At 44.4% G+C, this 18122-nt stretch overlaps 1 protein-coding gene and 1 long non-coding RNA gene across 5 annotated transcripts in view; one reads left to right on the top strand and one right to left on the bottom strand.

The window, feature by feature from the left end:
• LRP4-AS1 (LRP4 antisense RNA 1) overlaps positions 1-18122 on the top strand; it is a 28006-nt gene that overhangs the window by 4316 nt on the left and 5568 nt on the right. The gene's annotated exons all lie outside the window — the stretch shown is intronic.
• LRP4 (LDL receptor related protein 4) overlaps positions 5991-18122 on the bottom strand; it is a 61834-nt gene continuing 49702 nt past the window's right edge. For 3 of the 4 annotated variants that reach the window (NM_002334.4, XM_011520103.3, XM_011520104.3), the window contains 6 exons: positions 17874-17987; positions 17253-17388; positions 14393-14460; positions 13722-13809; positions 11880-12021; positions 5991-8589 (listed from right to left, as the gene is read on the bottom strand). In NM_002334.4, the coding sequence (NP_002325.2) occupies positions 8257-8589; positions 11880-12021; positions 13722-13809; positions 14393-14460; positions 17253-17388; positions 17874-17987 (881 nt within the window). In that variant the 3' untranslated portion in view covers positions 5991-8256. Of the gene's footprint in view, positions 8590-10202; positions 10265-11879; positions 12022-13721; positions 13810-14392; positions 14461-17252; positions 17389-17873; positions 17988-18122 lie in introns of all 4 variants that reach the window. The other variant, XM_017017734.2, reaches the window with a different exon arrangement.

Consider the following 18122-nt stretch of genomic DNA (forward strand, 5'->3'; position numbering starts at 1 on the left):
CAGATTTGTGATAAAGGTATATTGTGTGATGCTGAGGTTTGGGGTATGATTGAACCTAGGTAGTGAGCATAGTACCTAACAGTAAGTAGTTTATCAGTCCCTGCTTGCCGGGGTCTGTCCCACAGACCTTGACCCAACAACGGTTGAATAACGTACACTAACACAGATATTCTGCCTGTCACTCCAGCTAAGGGTCTGGGCCCCTCACAGACACCAAGGAAGGTGCTGTAAAGAGTAGCAGCCGGCCCCATCAGCCAGCGAAGCTTGCATTTATTCAGTATAGATTAAATGACAAAGGTTTTGAGTAAACACTGCTAGAGGGTAATTGACCTGGTTGCCAACAACCCCGCCCCCACCCCCTGCGGTTGTGCACCCGGTTGATCAAAGATTGGTCTTAAGACCACATGAGTAAACAAGCTATTCAGATAAACTACTCTACATTCCTTTGTATCTACTTTAAGCTATTTACTCAAAGTAAGGATTAGGCGGCTTTCAGCCATAACCCTATCCTGAGACTTTTGCAAAACCTTCCGGCCTTCCAAGAAGATTTGTGTCTATATTTTATAACTTCATCTTAAAATTTTCCCACCAGCCTGACTGAACTCCCACACTTGCTCATCTCCCACTCTCCCATCTCTAGTAGTCCCAAGTGTCTATCGTTCCCTTCTTTATGTCCTTGTGTACCCAATGTTTAGCCCCTGTTTCTAAGTGAGAACGTGCAACCTTTGGTTATCTGTTTCAGCATTAGTTTGTTTCGGATAATGGCCTCCAGCTGCATCCAGGCTGCTGCTAAGGACATTATTTCATTCTTTTTTTATGGCTGCATAGTTTTACATGATATATGTACCACATTTCTTTAATCCACCATTGATGGGCACAAGGGTTGATTCCATGTTTTTGCTATTGTGAATAGTGCTGCAATGAATATATGGGTACATGTGTCCTTTTGGTAGAATGATTTTTTATCCTTTGAGTATATACCCAGTAATAGGATTACTGGGTCGAATGGTAGTTCAACTTTTAGTTCTTTGAAAAATCTCCAAACTGCTTTCCACAGTGGCTGAATTAATTTACATTCCCACCACAGTGTACAAGTGTCCCCTTTCCTCTGCAGCCTTGCTAGCATCTATTAAATTTTTACCTTTTAACAAAAGCCACTCTGACTCGTATAAGGTGGTATCTCATGGTTTTGATTTGCATTTCTCTGATGATTAGTGATGATGAGCATTTCTTCATATGTTTATTGGTCACTTGTATCTCTTTTGAAAGTGTTTGTTCATGTCCTTTGCCCACTATTTATTTATTTATTTATTTATTTAGAGACAGAGTCTTACTCTGTTGCCCAGGCCGGAGTACAATGGCACAATCTCAGCTCACTGCAACCTGTGCCTCCCAGGTTCTCCTGCCTCAGCCTCCTGAGTAGTTGGGATTACAGACACCCACCACCATGCTTGGCTAATTTTTGTATTTTTAGTCGAGATGGGGTTTCGCCATGTTGGTCAGGCTGGTCTCGAACTCCTGACCTCAGGTGATCCACCCACCTCAGCCTCCCAAAGTGCTGGGATTACAGGCATGAGCCACTGCACCCGGCTTGCCCACTTTTTAAATGGGGTTGTTTTTCACTTGTTGATTTAAGTTCTTTATGGATTCTGGATATTAGACCTTTGTTGGATGCATAGCTTGCAAATATTTTCTCCCATTCTGTAGCTTGTCTATTACTCCCTTGATAGTTTCTCTTGCTGTGCAGAAGCTCTCTACTTTTGGTAGGTCCCATTTATCCATTTATCATTTTTTGTTTTTGTTGCAATTGCTTTTGACAACTTAGCCATAAATTCTTTGCCAAAGCTGATAATGAGAAGGGTATTTCCTAGGTTTTCTTCTAGGATTTTTATATTTCAAGGGAAAGGCTGTGTTTTCTTTCTGTTGTTGGTTTTTTTTTTTGTTTTTTTTTTTTTTTTGAGACAGGGTCTTGCTCTGTCACCCAGGCTGGAGTGCAATGGCGTGATCACAGCTCAACTGCAGCCTTGACCTCCTGGGCTCAAGTGATTGTCCCACTTCAGCCTCTCGAGTAGCTGAGACTATAGGCATGCATGAAAACACCTTTTTTTTTTTTTTTTTTTTGTAGAGACACAGGATCTCATTATGTTACCCAGGATGATCTCAAACCCATGGACTCAAGCAATTCTCCTGCATCAGCCTCCCAAAGTGCTGGGATTACAGGTATGAGCCACCACACCCAGCTGACTATAATATATATATGTATATAAAAGGAGGCCAGGGGCAGTGGCTCATGCCTATAATCCCAGCACTTTGAGAGGCCGAGGCAGGTGGATCACCTGAGGTCAGGAGTTCGAGACTAGCCTGGCCAACACGGTGAAACCCTGTCTCTACTAAAAATACAAAAATTAGCCAGGCATGGTGGCAGATGCCTGTAATCCCAGCTGCTCGGGAGGCTGAGGCAGGATAATCTCTTGAACCCGGGAGGCGGAGGGTGCAGTGAGCCAAGATCACACCATTGCACGATCCAGCCTGGGCAACAGAGCAAGACTCCATCTCAAAACAAACAAACAACAACAAAATATTTATATATGAAAGGGTGGTCAGGGTAGGTTTCACTGAGATTACATTTGAGCAAAGACTTAAAGGCAAAGGAGTTAGCCATGAGTATATCTAGGGGAAGAAAGTGCCAGCAAGGGCCAACAACTGTGCAAAGGCCTTATGTTTTTGAGGAAGACAGAGGCTAGTGTCACTGGCCCAGGGTAGCATGCAGTAGAGGGGTAGTAGCAGAAGAAATCTTATAACAGTGGGGGGTGAGGACTGGCAGATCCCACAAGGCCTTGTAGAAATCTTATACAGTACCTTGCCCGTAGTAGGTATTCAATAAATGTTTGCCCAGTCATCTTTTGCCTTCTAGGATTATCATCAAATAGCATTTATCTGTGTATTTATTGGAGTTACGTGTGCTTTTATTCCAGGGTCTTCTCAGTAGTCCTTTTACATAAGGAGTATATTTATGAACATACTGCCCTCTGAGGGCAGTGAAGCCCTTGTGGGCATTAGAGATCAAAGTGAATGCTGTATTTTTGCAACTGAAAACAGGAAACAAATGTCAAATACTGTGGCTGCTGAATAACTGTGCTGGGCATTTCTGAAAAGCCTGTTAGGGTTGAGACAGTGCTCATTCTTTTGTAATCACAAGCTGAATTCTGGTTGAAGCATCCCTACCATGGGATATGTATCCATATTTCCAGCCTAAAAGGAGCAGCTTCAGTGATGAGCTTCCTTCAACTTTCAATGCAGGTGCCCTCTGCATTATTTCCCTGGAGATAGCAGTGGTGACATTAATACAGATTTCAAGTGGCTGTGGGTTTTAGTGCCTTAACTGTCTTCCAGGATTGCAAAGCCTACCCTGGCTTGCACTTGATTGCATTTAGTAGGTGCTGGTTGAATGAAGGAATGAATAGCCTTTATTTTTTCTTTTCTCATATTCATTTTCCATAGCCCCCAAAATGTAGGCTGTCCAAGAACTTTGACCACAGAAGCATCAGCGCCACCAAAGAGGAAGGAGGGAGAAGGGAGAGATAGGGACCTCATTAGAAGACTATCAACAGGCTTTTAGGGCCTGGAGGGAAAACCATCAGGAAGAGCAAGATACGTGAAAGTTCTTGGCTCTTTGTGTCTTATAAAATGAAATAAGCAGATTGTGTAGCTTGTGGCTAACTTAGCCTTGGGTTTAAACTATGACCCTTAATTAGGCTGTCTGGGTCTGTTTTAACACCATGTCAAGGAGACCAAAGTTATGAGTTGGAGCTTTGACTAGACATCAAACTTTATTCCCTATGCTGAGCTCTGCTAGCCTCTGCAGCTGGTTAACGGGAGAATGGTGTGGAGAGAAAATAAGTAGGCAGATGAGGGAATGTTTCAAAACAAAGAGTGCCTAAAAACATCCCAAAACACACATCCTATTAAGTGAATCAGTCGACTCAACTTCACATTTGAAGAAAAGATATATTACAGACTGTTTCGTAGCCATAAAAAGGACTCAGCCACATTTCTTTTATCATTATGTCCATAAATAGAAACCAGACAACTTAGGGCCAGGTGCGGTGGCTCACGCCTGTAATCCCAGCACTTTGGGAGGCTGAGGCGGGCGGATCACAAGGTCAGGAGATTGAGACCACGGTGAAACCCCGTCTCTCCTAAAAATACAAAAAATTAGCTGGGCGTGGCAGTGGGCGCCTGTAGTCCCAGCTACTTGGGAGGCTGAGGCAGAAGATTGTGCCACTGCACTCCAGCCTGGGCGACAGAGCGAGACCCTGGATAACCTTGGATATCAGTGCATTACTGGGTCCTCTTAGAACCCTCTTAGAACCCACTTAGAAACCTGTGCACCCTCAGCTTTTGTAGATGCTGCCTCTGAGTTCCTATGCATTGAATTTAGGCCTACGTTTGGTGACAGCTTCAGTTTATCCAGAGTCCTTTCTATGGGCCAGAGATCCTTTCATTTTAGATTCCACAGTTTGTTCATACACCATAGACAGACCGTGACTGTATTTTGAGTGAGTTTGCAAAAATATGGCCAGTTTGTTAGAACTTGACCCACCATCTGCTCACTTATCAGTTTCAGGGTTTTTTTGTTTTGTTTTTTTAGTGACAAGGTTTTGCTCTGTTACCCAGGATGGAATGCAGTGGCGTGATCATAGCTCACTGTAACCTTGAACTCCTGGGCTCAAGCAATCCTCCTGCCTCAGCCTCCCAAGCAGCTGGGACTACAGGCATGAGCTACCACACCTGACTAATATTTTTAAATTTTTTTGTAGAGATATGGTCCTGTCATGTTGCCCAGGCTGATCGTGAACTCCAGGCCTCAAGCAATACTCCTTACTTCTGTCTTGGCCTCCCAAAGTGGTGAGATTACTTTGGTGTAGCCACTGTGCCTGACCCTAGTTTCAGATTTTATACCAGAGAACTAGACAAGGAATTCCCAACCTTTGTTTTATCCCAAGATGTCCTCCTTTTCTGCTTTTTTTTTCCCTCCCAAAGAGAACAGTGGGGGTTGGAGGGATGGTTATCCTTGGGCTATTCTACTTGTTTTTGTTCTGGCACACCTACTCCTTACTACAGTTAGAAAAATTATACACTGTAGCTTATACTCAGATCTCTGGTCACTTAAATACAAGAAGCTTCAGTCTTTCTTACTTTCATTTTTTGTCTTTTTTTGGGATGGTGGTGGTAATGGTGTTGCTAGACTCTAAGCTCTGTAAGATTATGTCTTTGTTTAGGCATGGGCAGTGCCTAGCCCATAGCAGATGAATGAATGAATGAATGAATGAATGAATGGGGATATTATCCTATAGATGGTGTGTGGTTTAGAAAATCAACTATTGAGACTTGACATGAAATTCTACATCGGGCGTTGAGATTAACATGATTCCCAGTTTTCACTGAGGGATATCACATCCAGAGAACCTGAGAAGGGATCCCTAGCTCCTTGTTCTAGCCTTGAGAAGTAGTGGATGAGCTATGAAAAGACAGCTTTTAAAAATAAATGAAATCCTAGTGATAATTTGATCCACTCTCAGACTAACTATGAAAGTTGACTAAGATCAAACAGAGCTAGTGGCAGATCTGGGACTGGAATTAGCCCTCCATGTCCCCAGCTCCAGTACTTTTCTTACTACATGAGATAGTCTTGCCAGTGACCATCACTGCAAGGCAAAGTAAAGTTCTGTAACAAAGACCTAGAACAGAAATAGAAGATACATGGTATACATGCCATGACATTTCCTTCCAGTGCACAGAAGAGATGTCACTAGCCATATGACATTCTTCCCATTGGGTGCGAATAGGCCCTCAGGCAGCCACTACCAACCAGTCAGAGTCAGCACTCAAGAGGAAACCCATCTACCATTCCTCTTCCAGAGGAAATAAAGGTTTCATCAGTCAAGGAACTCTGGCCTCGACCTGTCTTCTCCAGATGAGCTGAAAACTCCAGCAGGAACCTCACACTCTTTATTGCTCTTCACTGTGCCCACATCCACAAAGGACTTAAAAGTGATGTCTGTAAGCAGGTTTTCCACAGCATGGGTCTGCCAGACAGAGCAGGTGCAGGATTAGTCATGACTCCAAGCCAGGCAAGGTGATTAAGAAAAGCTAAATTTATATTAAATTATCATAAAGTCCTAAAATACTGAACATAGTGGTTAAATAACTCCAGAAAGTCCAATCTCTCCAGTGAGTAACGTTAAAACCATTACACATGAGCATGGGAGAATCGCTTCCATTAGTTTAGGACAGAGAGATTTTGCTTTTTACAGAGTAAATCAGTGCTCAAATAGATACTTCCTCAAATATGTCCTTTCTACATTCTGAACAGCCCAAGTGCAATAAGATCCTTCCCCCTTTCCAATCAAGAAAATGCCACTTTTCTACTTGCTCTTCCTCCCCAGACGTGAGTCTAAGGACCCAAAGTGCTCACTCCTTTACTGCTTGTTAAGTGTAATGTGGGGAGGCTCAGAACTGGGGCTGACGCTACTGAGAGCAAGGCTAAGGGCCTGGTATCTCTCTCTAGCAGTCTTAGAACTGACTAGAAAAGAATTGATCTTGTCCTTTTTCACTTTGGTAGCTGATTTCTCAATACCAGTAACCACAGGAGAAGTTTCAACTCAGGAAACTTCCCCTAGAAATTCTCCCCTCCATTCCCAGCCCCTGTTGTTCTCTCCTGCCACTTCTAATTCCTGGGGGAGAAGAGGTCTGGGTCTGCCATGGGCTAGGAGGGCCTCATCAGTGGTGCTCTCTACCTTCCTACTCCTTACCCACCTCTTTGTATTTTTATTTATTCAGCCCTCCCACCACAGGACTTTGGAGATTGCTGGTGCCACAAGGCTTGGTCAGAAAAAGCAAATTAGGCAAAAAAACAAACAAAAAAACCCCACGAAGAACAGCTAGGGAGACGTTTTAGGGCAAAAATAAGTCTCAATTTCCCTGATACCAGGCTGAGACACGTGCCCTTTGTGTGAATGAGCATGAACCAAGTGATGGCATCCCACATGGAAACTAAGCCCCTTAGCTGAGGGGACAGCTGGAAGAGGAACATCACCACCCCGTAGCCACAGGCTTGCTGTCCACTAACTTAGATCCCTGAGCACTTGAGAAAGAACATAGGAAGTTCAACAGGAAGTTTGACCCTCATGGATACTTCTCTTTAGGCCCTGGGTTTCCCAAGTCTCCAACCTGATCGTTCTTTCTGACCATTTATGACAACTTCTGGTTTTTCTTTGAAAGCTTGTTTCTAGGTCTCTTCCCCAGAATCCCAGGACATGAGGGAGAGAGGGGTCAGGAGGTATACCATATTTGGTCTAGGCAGAGCTTCTTAGACTTTTCAGAGACTCAGCCCCCAAGGCCTAACATTCACTCAAGCCACTGGCTCACAACCTGGTTAATTTGAGCAAAGACTTAGGAAAGGTACTGGCCAGTGGTGGCACCAGGAGGGAATTCCTATTAGCCAGTAGCCTTGTGATAGGGGACCCAGTTATCTGAATGTAGAAACAGCTCCAGACATTCTAGGAGGAGGAAGAACAGCCTGAGCCACCCCCATCTCACCAGTATCTGCTGCTGAAAAGGCAGTGTCTCTTAGGGCAAGAATAATGTCCACTGCCAGCAATGGACCAGACACCCAGATCCAACTACCCCCCAAAGCTTTTTCATGTTACTAACACACTTGAGGCTGGAGGTTTCCCAGATGCCCATACCTGCTGGGCTGATTCTTCCTTCTTCTCTCAGCCTCTATCCTTCATCCCTGTCTTTACCCACACCCCCATGTCCCAGCCCCTGATGGGCAAGTTCTCTCAGAGAAGCAGTCATGCTGGCTGTGATGGGGCAGAGCGCAGTCCTGGGTCATCAGCTGCATCAGCACTGAGAAGCAGGCACTGAGGGTACTGGGGAAAGGGGAGGTGGAGCTCTACGCTGGTGAGGAATCACGAATAAGCAGTTTCAGGGGGCCCAGGATGGAGTACAAGATGTGAGGTTCATGGTAAAATCCAGGTCTAAATTCTCGTGATGTGCCATCATTTCTTGTGCACAGGTAGTTATGGACTCACGTGGTAAACAGCTCCGGTGAAGGCTTAGGAACAGTTATGGGGTGGGAGGAGGAGGAGGACAAGCACACAGAAGCGGGGCCTGCGGTGTAAGCGAGCACAAGGACTAGACGTCCATAAAGGAGAAGGAACAGGCAGGCAGGGAAGAGAATGTGGGCATTTAGACCTGGCTCTCTGAGGAGAGCTTGCGTTCATGTTTCCAGCCCGTGTCTGGCAGAGAGCCTCGTCTTTCTGGAGTGGCTGCAGTATGGACGCTGCTACACTCAGACTGCTCTTCCTGTAACAGCTGCTCCGTCTCTGTGTCATCCAGGGAGCCAGAGCTGGCCTGGATGGACACCGTGTCTGTCTTCATGCATACATGATCCCGGAGGAGGCCCCCCCGTGAGCTTCGCAGTTGCTTGAGGTCATCCCACTCAGCATCATCCCCAGACAGGAGGCAGATTCCCTCTACGATCTTGATCTTCTCCTTGGTGTAGTTATGGTCAGGCCCTCCCTAGGGTGGAGAGTGGGCAGATATGGTCAGTCAGTTGGCCTTCTACAAAGGATCCCATGGTAAACTGAAAAAGGAAGTGGATGGGGTAAGAGTAGGAGTGAAGCGCACAAAAATCCCACAAACAAATGGGGAAATGTGATTAAGACAAGTGTATGAGGCCTAGCCTAAAAGGGGAGAGGCAGCTGTGATAATTATTACCATTACCATACAGGAGGAGGGAAAACCATGGCTTCCGGTCCTGCAGCAGCCACTCACTGGCTTTGTCACCTTAGGCAAATTATTTCACATTTCTAAAACTCAGTCTCTTAAGACTCTGCAGTGTGAGGAGAGTAACAGTATCCACACCTCACAACCAACTGCTGTCACCTTAAATGAGATGATACATGGAATGCAGTTATCAGGGAGCTTGACACAAGATGCACTATAACATGTTAGCTATGTTACATTGTTACTGTGGTTTATTAATGGGACATCATGCTGATATAAATCATCAAAAGCAATTGGCAAGAGCAATTAAATGTACATTTATTCAGGATTTTAAGCTACTTCGGGTGCTAGTTTGTATCTCTTTTTTCTAATTTTGTTAAGGAGAAAACTTGGGAGGTAAGACAGGGGACTCTAGAAAATCCTCTTATCTGGCCGGGCGTGGTGGCTTACACCTGTAATCCCAGCACTTTGGGAGGCCCAGGCGGGCAGATCACTTGAGTTCAGGAGTTCGAGACTAGCCTGGCCAACATGGTGAAACCCCATCTCTACTAAAAATACAAAAATCAGCTGGGTTTGGTGGCGGGTGCCTGTAATCCCAGCTATTTGGGAGGCTGAGGCAGGAGAATCCCTTGAACTCCGGAGGCTGAGGTTACAGTGAGCCAAGATCATGCCACTGCACTCCAGCCTGGGTGACAGAGCAAGATTCCATTAAAAAAAAAAAAAGAAAGAAAGAAAGAAAAAAAACTAAAAAAAAGGAAATCTTCTTATCTGGGTCCTAAACGTCAATATAGTGGGGTCCTGCAACTTATAACCTTTTTTGGGAGGTTACTCTCGCTCTGCTGCCATGAGTCCTGGGACCATTCCCAAGCAAAACCTGGGACTCTTCCAGGCACAGCCTGGAGTTCTGCTCGGGCCTCTCCCTTTATGGCTTCTTCAAAGAGCAGCCTCACTCCTGGCTGCTGGGGTATACCAACCGACATACCACCACTGCTAGAAGAAAATGGATCATCTTGGGTTCTGTCCCTGGGATAGTATTCCTGCCAAGAGTTCTGCAACTGTGGCTGTGGCTCTATTTTTGTAACAATTCAATTCCACAGATATTTACTGAGCCCCTATGTTAAGCAGAAGACTGTGCTAGGTGCTTTGATGATTATACAATATAAAACATGGTCCCTGCCCTCTGAGAGTGACAGTCCCCTCAGCCATGCAGAGTGGGACATAGCACACAAGCAAACACACAGATGTCTGTTCACCCAGCACACCCTCCAAGATGAAATTAGTATAAGATGCAGACCACTCAATGTCTTAATTAAGAGACACGCTGGGTAAGTTAGGGAGAGGTGGGGGATATGGCACTTGCAATTTGGGAAACACCACTCCCTCTACAAACACACAGCAACAGGTACCTGAAATCAAGAGGAAATCAGAAGAGAAAAGGTGAAAGACTATCAGAGGGGTGAAAGAGCTGCTGAGGAAGAAACACACAACAGAAGAAAGAGGTCACACTATTTTCATTGCTATCCTGTGGCCTTCATTGTGGTTCTTTTCTGGAGCATCAGATACTCCAGGAACCCAAGAATCTTCAAGAGTCTTTCTCTCAAAGATATTGGGGAGGGGTCTACCATTCCTAGAACTACAAGCCATCCCTGCACATTCTGTTTTGACTGCAGTAGAAGCTTTTAAAAAATTTTTAATTTCAATTTTTTTTTTCAAACACCAACTTGAACCAGAAGTAGTGGAAGCTATTTAAATACGGGAATTCATGGATCCAGAAAGCACATGATTATTATGTGAAATGTGTTTATTACACATGAGAGCCCTGCAGGTGTGAGAGCAGGTTCTGACTGTGCTAGATAGGCCAAAGAAGTAGACTGATGAGGATCTTCATAAGGAATAACTTCTGATGAAGAGTTACAGGATTTTAGGAAAAAAACAAGGCTTATATTGGATTAGGAAAATCTGAAATACCAGGTATAGTTAGTTTCCTTGTGGAAATGGGACTTTTTTTTTTTTTTTTTTTTTTGAGACAGGGTCTCATTGTCACCCAGGCTGGAGGGTAGTGGCATGATCACAGCTCACTGCAGCCTCCAACTCCTGAGCTCAAGTGATCCTCCTACCTCAGCCTCCTGTGTAGCTGGGACTACAGGCACAAGCCACCACAACCAGCTCATTGAAATGGGACTATTTTTCATGCCTTCACATTGAGCAAATAATTTTCCATTGAAGTGACAAAGAAGTTAAAAAAAAACAAACAAACAAAAGCAGGCTGGGCGCAGTGGCTCACGCCTGTAATCCCAGCACTTTGGGAGGCCGAGGCAGGTGGATCACCTGAGGTCAGGAGTTCAAGACCAGCCTGGTCAACATGGAGAAACCCTGTCTCTACTAAAAATACAAAATTAGCCGGGCATGGTGGCGCATGCCTGTAATCCCAGTTACCCGGGAGGCTGAGGCAGGAGAATCACTTGAACCCGGGAGGTGGAGGTTGCAGTGAGCTGAGATCGTGCCATTGCACTCCAGCCTGGGCAACAAGAGCGAAACTCTGTCTCAAAAAAAAAAAAAAAAAAAAAAAGCAAAAGCAGGTAAACCTTCAGAATTCTAGAGAAATTTTTGTGATAAGAGGAAGAATAGTGAAAAACAAGCCATTCCCAACCATAGGTGCTACTAGCTTGGACTGGAGGTTAGTAATGGGCGAGTCCAGGAGCTCTTGGGTTTTTTGGGTGTTGTCTGGGAGAGCTCCCTTGTTTCAGAAGCACATAGCCTTTTGCAGGGGAATGACAGTTCCTGGAGGGAAAGAACCTATAAGCTTGGAAAAATATCTCATGGCAGGGCAACTGCTTTCAGACCTAAATCTTCTGAGATCTGCCTTCTAACCTGGCTCTCACTAAGGTCCCTCAAACTAATCCCTCAGAGATTCTAGAACTTCCCAGAAACCCAAATTACATTCAGTTCTTCTGTTCACTATAACTTCCAAAATGGTAGATGGGATTACTCAGCAGCCGTTACTGACTTATTTGGGCATTTGGAGTAAAATCCCTCCCCACACCTCGCCAAAAAGACCCTTGAATATAAATTTCAATTTTTACCTCTTTCTTATAGCACAGCTGGTTGTACATGGCTGGTTTGGGGATTGCTTCAATCTTCACTTCCTGTGTGGATGTTCGGTAGGAGGGGTTGCTGTAGGTGAGGTTCCCCATTCCAGGATCAGTGAACTTGGATTTTTTGTGTCTTTAGGAGGGAAGGTGATGAGAAATTAGTCGAGATCTTTAAGGGGATGATACCTGGGAAAGCTGTAAACTGAGTCTGGTAGGCAGCCTCTAAGATGATCCCAGTGACTCCCACTTCCTGGTACTCATGCCCTTAAGAATCCCCTCCCCTTGAGTGTGGACTGTTCTGGTGACTTACTTCTAATGAAAAGATTATGCAAATGTGATGGCTACTAGATTAGGTTACCAAGAAACTGGTTCTGGTCTTGAGTTGCCCTCCCTCATTCTCTTTTGCTCTTGCTCTGGGAGAAGCAACCTGCCATGTTGTAAGTTGTCCTATGGAGAGGCCCACAAGGCAAGAAACTAATGAGGAAGGCCTCCAGCCAACAGCCTATGAGGAGCTGAATCCTACCAACAACTATGTGAGTGAGTGTGGAAGGGGATCCTTCCCCGGTCAAACCTTGAGATGAGACTGTAACCCCAGCTGATATCTGGATTGCAGTCTGTGAGACACCTTGAGGCAGAGGCACCTAGCTAAGCTGCATCCAGATTTCTGACCCATAGAAACTGTGAGATAATGGTTGTCATTTTAAGTCACTAAGTTTTCGGGTAATTTGTTATGCAGCAATGGAGAACTGATGCACTGAGCTTTAGAGTCAGACAGATCTGTTTCAATTCCACCTCTGTGATTTATTAGCTGGGACCTTGATAGATATAATCTAAACTCTCTGGCTGGGTGCGGTGGCTCACACCTGTAATCTTGGCACTTAGAGAGGCTGAGGTGGGCAGATCACACAAGGCCAGGAGTTCGAGACCAGCCTGACCAACATGGAAGAAACCCTCTCTCTACTAAAAATACAAAAAAAAAAAAAAAAAAAAAAAAATTAGCTGGGCATGGTGGTGCATGCTTGTAGTTCTAGCTACTTGGGAGGCTGAGGCACAAGAATTGCTTGAATCCAGGAGGCAGAGGTTGCAGAGAGCCAAGATTGCACCACTGCACTCCAGCCTGGGCAACAGAGTGAGACTCTATCTCAAAAAAATAAGACAAAAATTAAAAAAAATAAACTTTCTGAGCCTCAGATCCTCATCTGTAAAGTGAGGAATAATAATACCTGTGTTACGAGGTTGTCATGACATTGATATATATCCATTAATGGTAACTGTTACGATGATGATGATGAAGAACAACAGCAGCAAACTGTAAGCTACGTTTAAAGCATTTGGGGGAAAATATAAAGAAAGAGGGACATAAAAAGATTATAAATGACACATTCTACCTTTCCAGAATGATTGCTACTGAGCAAAGATGTACAAACCAATATTGTAGTAAAAGGCTGTGTTTGTATAAGGGGAAAATCATTTCCAATTTCAGTGGTTTGAAGCAGGGAGTACTGGAAAAAGCAAAGATGTTAAGAGTCAGTCTTAGATTTGCCTCTTACTTTGTGACCTTGGGTAATATCCTCTGTGCACTCAGCATCCTAGTCTATAAAGAAAATCCGAAGGGTTGTTACAGTCATTCAATAAGGAAAATGCTTAGGCTGTGACTGGAGAAGAGTAAGTATTTAGGTTTCCACCCTTTCCTTCTGCTGCCCTGACCAGGCACCCAACCTTGCAATAAGGCTGGTCAGAGCTTGATTCAGTGAACTGCAGAGCTTCGGGAGATCCCAGACATGCTCATGAAGACCAATGAGCATGTGGCCCCTGTAGCAAGACTGAAGTTACCTGTACAGCATCAAAGCTGCAATCACCACCAAAATCAGCAGAATACTGAGGAGTCCACCAATGGCGTAGCTGATATGAAGTCCTTCCCCTAGGAAGAATAGAGAAACACTAGGCAGGGGCCACCGACAACTTTCTAGCGGTGCTGGTGTGAGGAATGGAAAGCTGAAAGGCTCCTTTTGTAGGTGTTGGACCCCATACCATCTGAGGATGGCTAAGGGCCTCCTTTTCAGATAGGTAAATGGGAGGTGCAGGGAGGAGGCTGAGAAGAAATCTGTCACTCTGCCAGCATCTCTGATCCCATTTCGACCACTTCCTAGCTATCTGACATAAGGCAAGATGCTTAACTTGTAAGCCTACATTTTCTCTTTAGTTAAATGTAAATAATAAATTGCTCATAGGACTGGAGGAAATTACATGAGAGTATGTATATATGCATGTGCACACACATATAATGTGGCATATATATGGCTTATCACATGCCTGGCATACGGAAAGCATACCATAAGCTGTCACTGTAAGTGGTGAGAGCTATTATGATTATTATTTCTATGGACTTAGTTTAAAAAGAGTTCATCAACCCCAGAGTCCCAATGAAGGTTATGAAAGATATCAGTGGAGACTTAGATTCATTACATCTTCTTTTCCGGAACAGTGGGGTACTCAGGGCTTACCTGGAGCAGCAGGAACAGCGTCATTGGAACGTGCACAGAGGCCCAGCCTGGCATCCCTTTCAGAGCATCTGTGGGGCACAGAAAACTGGATGTGAAGCCTACTCATACTCAGTGAAGGTCATGCCTTCCTCCAGGAAAGGGGGAAAGGCCTGTAAGTGGGGGCTTTCAGGTATGAGAATGTACAAGATGGAAGACATCAGAAGCATGGAGAGGGCAACAACAGGAAATGGAGAGAAATCCGTGCAAGGCACTGTTTTCAAGCCGTTATACCATGTTTAAGTGTGTTATAAAATATGTACCTTTAAAAATGAGAAGCAGGTTTGGGAGTGAGTTGGAAGTCTGCAGAAAGAATACTAAGGACATCAATATTAGGCTTTCTTAAACTACCAGGATGAGTCAGAAGCAGCTGCTAGCCAAGCCAATCTGATTGGATAAAAATTATCACAAGAGCTAAATATCCCAAGGTCAAAAAATGTTTTTCTTCTCTTCATTCTTTCACAAGGGAATATGCAAGACATCCAGAGGGAGTGCTCAGATAACTAACTTGAAATGCTCAGAAGGTGACTTCTTTGTGGTACATTATGAGCAGGCAATCAAAGGCATCTCCTAAACAGCCAGAGGAAAGCTACTTGCAAGAGCATTTGGAACCAAGATGCACTGAATTTTCAAATAGAACTCTGACAATAAGAAAAGGTCCGAGCGGGGTCAAAAGTTTTCTAAATAAACCTAAAGAAAATCCGAGAGTAATAATGACTGATAGTACTTAAAAGTTAGTGAGAAAGGCACATGTTTATACCTGGGTGTTTCCTTTTCTTTACAAACTGTAGTAAAAACAGAGAATGGGGGCACACAGCATATGAATTTGATCATGTGCAAATCTTGTAACTTTAGGGACATTGAGTCTAAAGTTTTTATTTGGGATCATTATTATGTTTCTGCTTTCAGAATTGAAATCAAGTGTTAACTACCTTGTAAGCTACTGATGATATTAAAAATAAAGAGACCAGTATGTTGCAGTGGAAAAAAAAAAAAACTGTTCTAATTAGAAAAATGTCTAGAAAAGATAGACATCAAAACATTAAGAGTAAATTATATATAGGTATAGGATATTCCCTTCTTCTTTATTCACATATGTATTTCCAGATTATTTATTTATTTATTTTTTGTTTTTTGTTTTTTTTTTGAGACAGGGTCTCAGTCTGTCACCCAGGCTGGTGTGCAGTGGCACAATCACAGCTCACTGCAGCCTAAACCTGGGCTCAAGCAATCCTCCCAACCTCAGCCTCCCAAGTAGCTGGGACTACAGGCATGGGCCACCATGCCTGGCTAATTAAAAAAAAACTTTTTTGTAGAGATAGGATCTCACTATGTTACCCAGGCTTGTCTTGAATTCCTGGACTCATGTGATCTGCCCACCTTGGCCTCCCAAAGTGCTGGGATTACAGGTATGAGCCACTGCGCCTGGCCCAGATTATTTTTTATAAAATATAAATGGAAAACACAGTCATTAGAATTTTTTGCCAGGTGCAGTGTCTCACATCTGTAATGCCAGCACTTTGGGATGCCTAGGCGGGTGGATCACTTGAGCCCAGAAGTTTAAAACCAGCCTGGGCAACATGGTGAAGCCCCATCTCTACAAAAAGTACAAAAAATTAGCCAGGCATAGTGGCACACATTTATAGTCCCGGCTACCTGGGTGGCTGAAGTAGGAGGATCACATGAAACCAGGAGGTCGAGGGTGCAGTGAGCTTGAGCTGTGTTCATGCTACTGCACTCCAGCCTGGGTGACAGAGTGAGATCCTGTCTCAAGAAAAAAAAAGAAAAAAGAAAAAAAAGAATGTCTCTGAATTGAATGTAACATCATATTTAATCAATTTTAAGATGTTTGTTTTTTCTATGGCCTACCATCTCTTAAACAGGCATGTGACTTACAATCAATAGCATTTCACATTTGCTGTTGGTTATCTTTTCAGTTTAATTTCTCAAATCAGGAAGCATTTTATAATGAATAGCACCTTTAATTTAATGAAATAAGATACTTTATACTTGATTTGAGAACTGTTCGTGTTTATGCTTGCTTATTTCATAATGGTGTTTGTGTGTGTGTGTGTGTTGCGGGGGGGTGCACATGACATTATAAGCTAAGGCCATCATATCTCTGGGGAAACCTTTTTGTTCCAAGTCATAAAGCCACAGCCCAGAGACTACTGTTGGACAAGCCAATATGCCAAACCTATGATGTGAGAGCAAATGTCACAGAGAGAAGAAGGAGGAATACCACGTGGGAGGGTCCTCCTAAGTGATTTCTGTTTAAAGTTGTTCTTTTTTTTGTTGTTTTATTTTGTTTTGTTTTGTTTTTGAGATGGAGTTTCGCTCTTTGTTGCCCAGGCTGGAGTGTAATGGCGCGATCTCGGCTCACCGCAACCTCCGCCTCCTGGGTTCAAGTGATTCTCCTGTCTCAGCCTCCAGAGTAGCTGGGATTACAGGCATGTGCCACCACGCTCAGCTAATTTTGTATTTTTAGTGGAAACGGGGTTTCTCCATGTTGGGCAGGCTGGTCTCCAACTCCCGACCTCAAGTGATCCACCCGCCTCAGCCTCCCAAAGTGCTGGGATTACAGGCGTGAGCCACCACACCCAGCCTTAAAGTTGTTCTTAAAGCTTCTTGCCCTCAGAGCTAAAAAGGGAATCACTTGTAACAATCTACAAGTCTGAATATCACCTTCTGTCCCAAATAACAGGGACTGGTAGCTCCTGACATAATCTATCTCCCAACTGCCTTATCAAGCTGGGACTATGAGTTGGTCATGGGATGGTGATTTGAATCAAAGGGCCCATGATCCTGCATTGAACCTATTTACCTTCCTTCCACCTCCTCCAGAGACGTGCGGGTCCGGGTGGTTGAAGAATACAAGGTGGTAGGTGGTGTGTTGGGTAGCACTGGGCTCTTTTCACTCATGCCAGTAGCCCTAGGAGCTGGTGGTACCAGGCCAGGCACTAGACAAAAAAGAGGATTGGAGTGGGCCACTGGAACCATAAACATCTACATATGGCCCAAGAGTAGCAGCTGGAGAACTTGACAAAACAATCTTTTAGCTGCCCTAGTCCCAGGCACCTTCATTAGTAGCCCTTCTTAATACTATCAATAAAAAGGAGTTGGATTCAATAATAATAGCTCTGGATGGGACAGCTGGCTCACCAGTCAGGAAGAGAGAGTGATGCACAGGCCACTGATTATCCCACAGCAGGGACCTGGGAATCAAGAGACCTGAATTCTGTTCCTGCAAATGCCAGAGGGCAGACAAACCCAGGTTTGAGCAATTCCCAAAACCCAAGCAGACTGCTACCAATCACTCCACTAATAAGACCTTCTTTATGGGGATCCCACCCAGAAGGACAGATCAGACCAGTATCAGAGGCTGCTGACTCTCAGCCCTTCCAGGGGCTCTGCCGAGTGGCTCCAGCCATACAGTCCAACTCACCAAGGGAGCAGGGCCGGCTATCAGGTTCGTCAGGACAGGCACATACGAAGTCCGAGGCTCTGGCAAAGCAGAGGTGGGTGCAGCCACCATTGTTCACACCACAGGCATTGGTCCCTGGAGGCAAAGTAGATGAATGTCTTATCTGGGACAGAATCAGGTCTCCCAATTTAAGGCTTCTCAAAAACAGAGGAAATCCAGGATTACCCTACTCCCAGGGACAGGGGAGGAGGAGAGATACAACCGCGAGGG

This window comes from Homo sapiens, chromosome 11, assembly GCF_000001405.40.
Source record: "Homo sapiens chromosome 11, GRCh38.p14 Primary Assembly".
In the NCBI taxonomy this organism is placed as follows: Eukaryota; Metazoa; Chordata; class Mammalia; order Primates; family Hominidae; genus Homo; species Homo sapiens.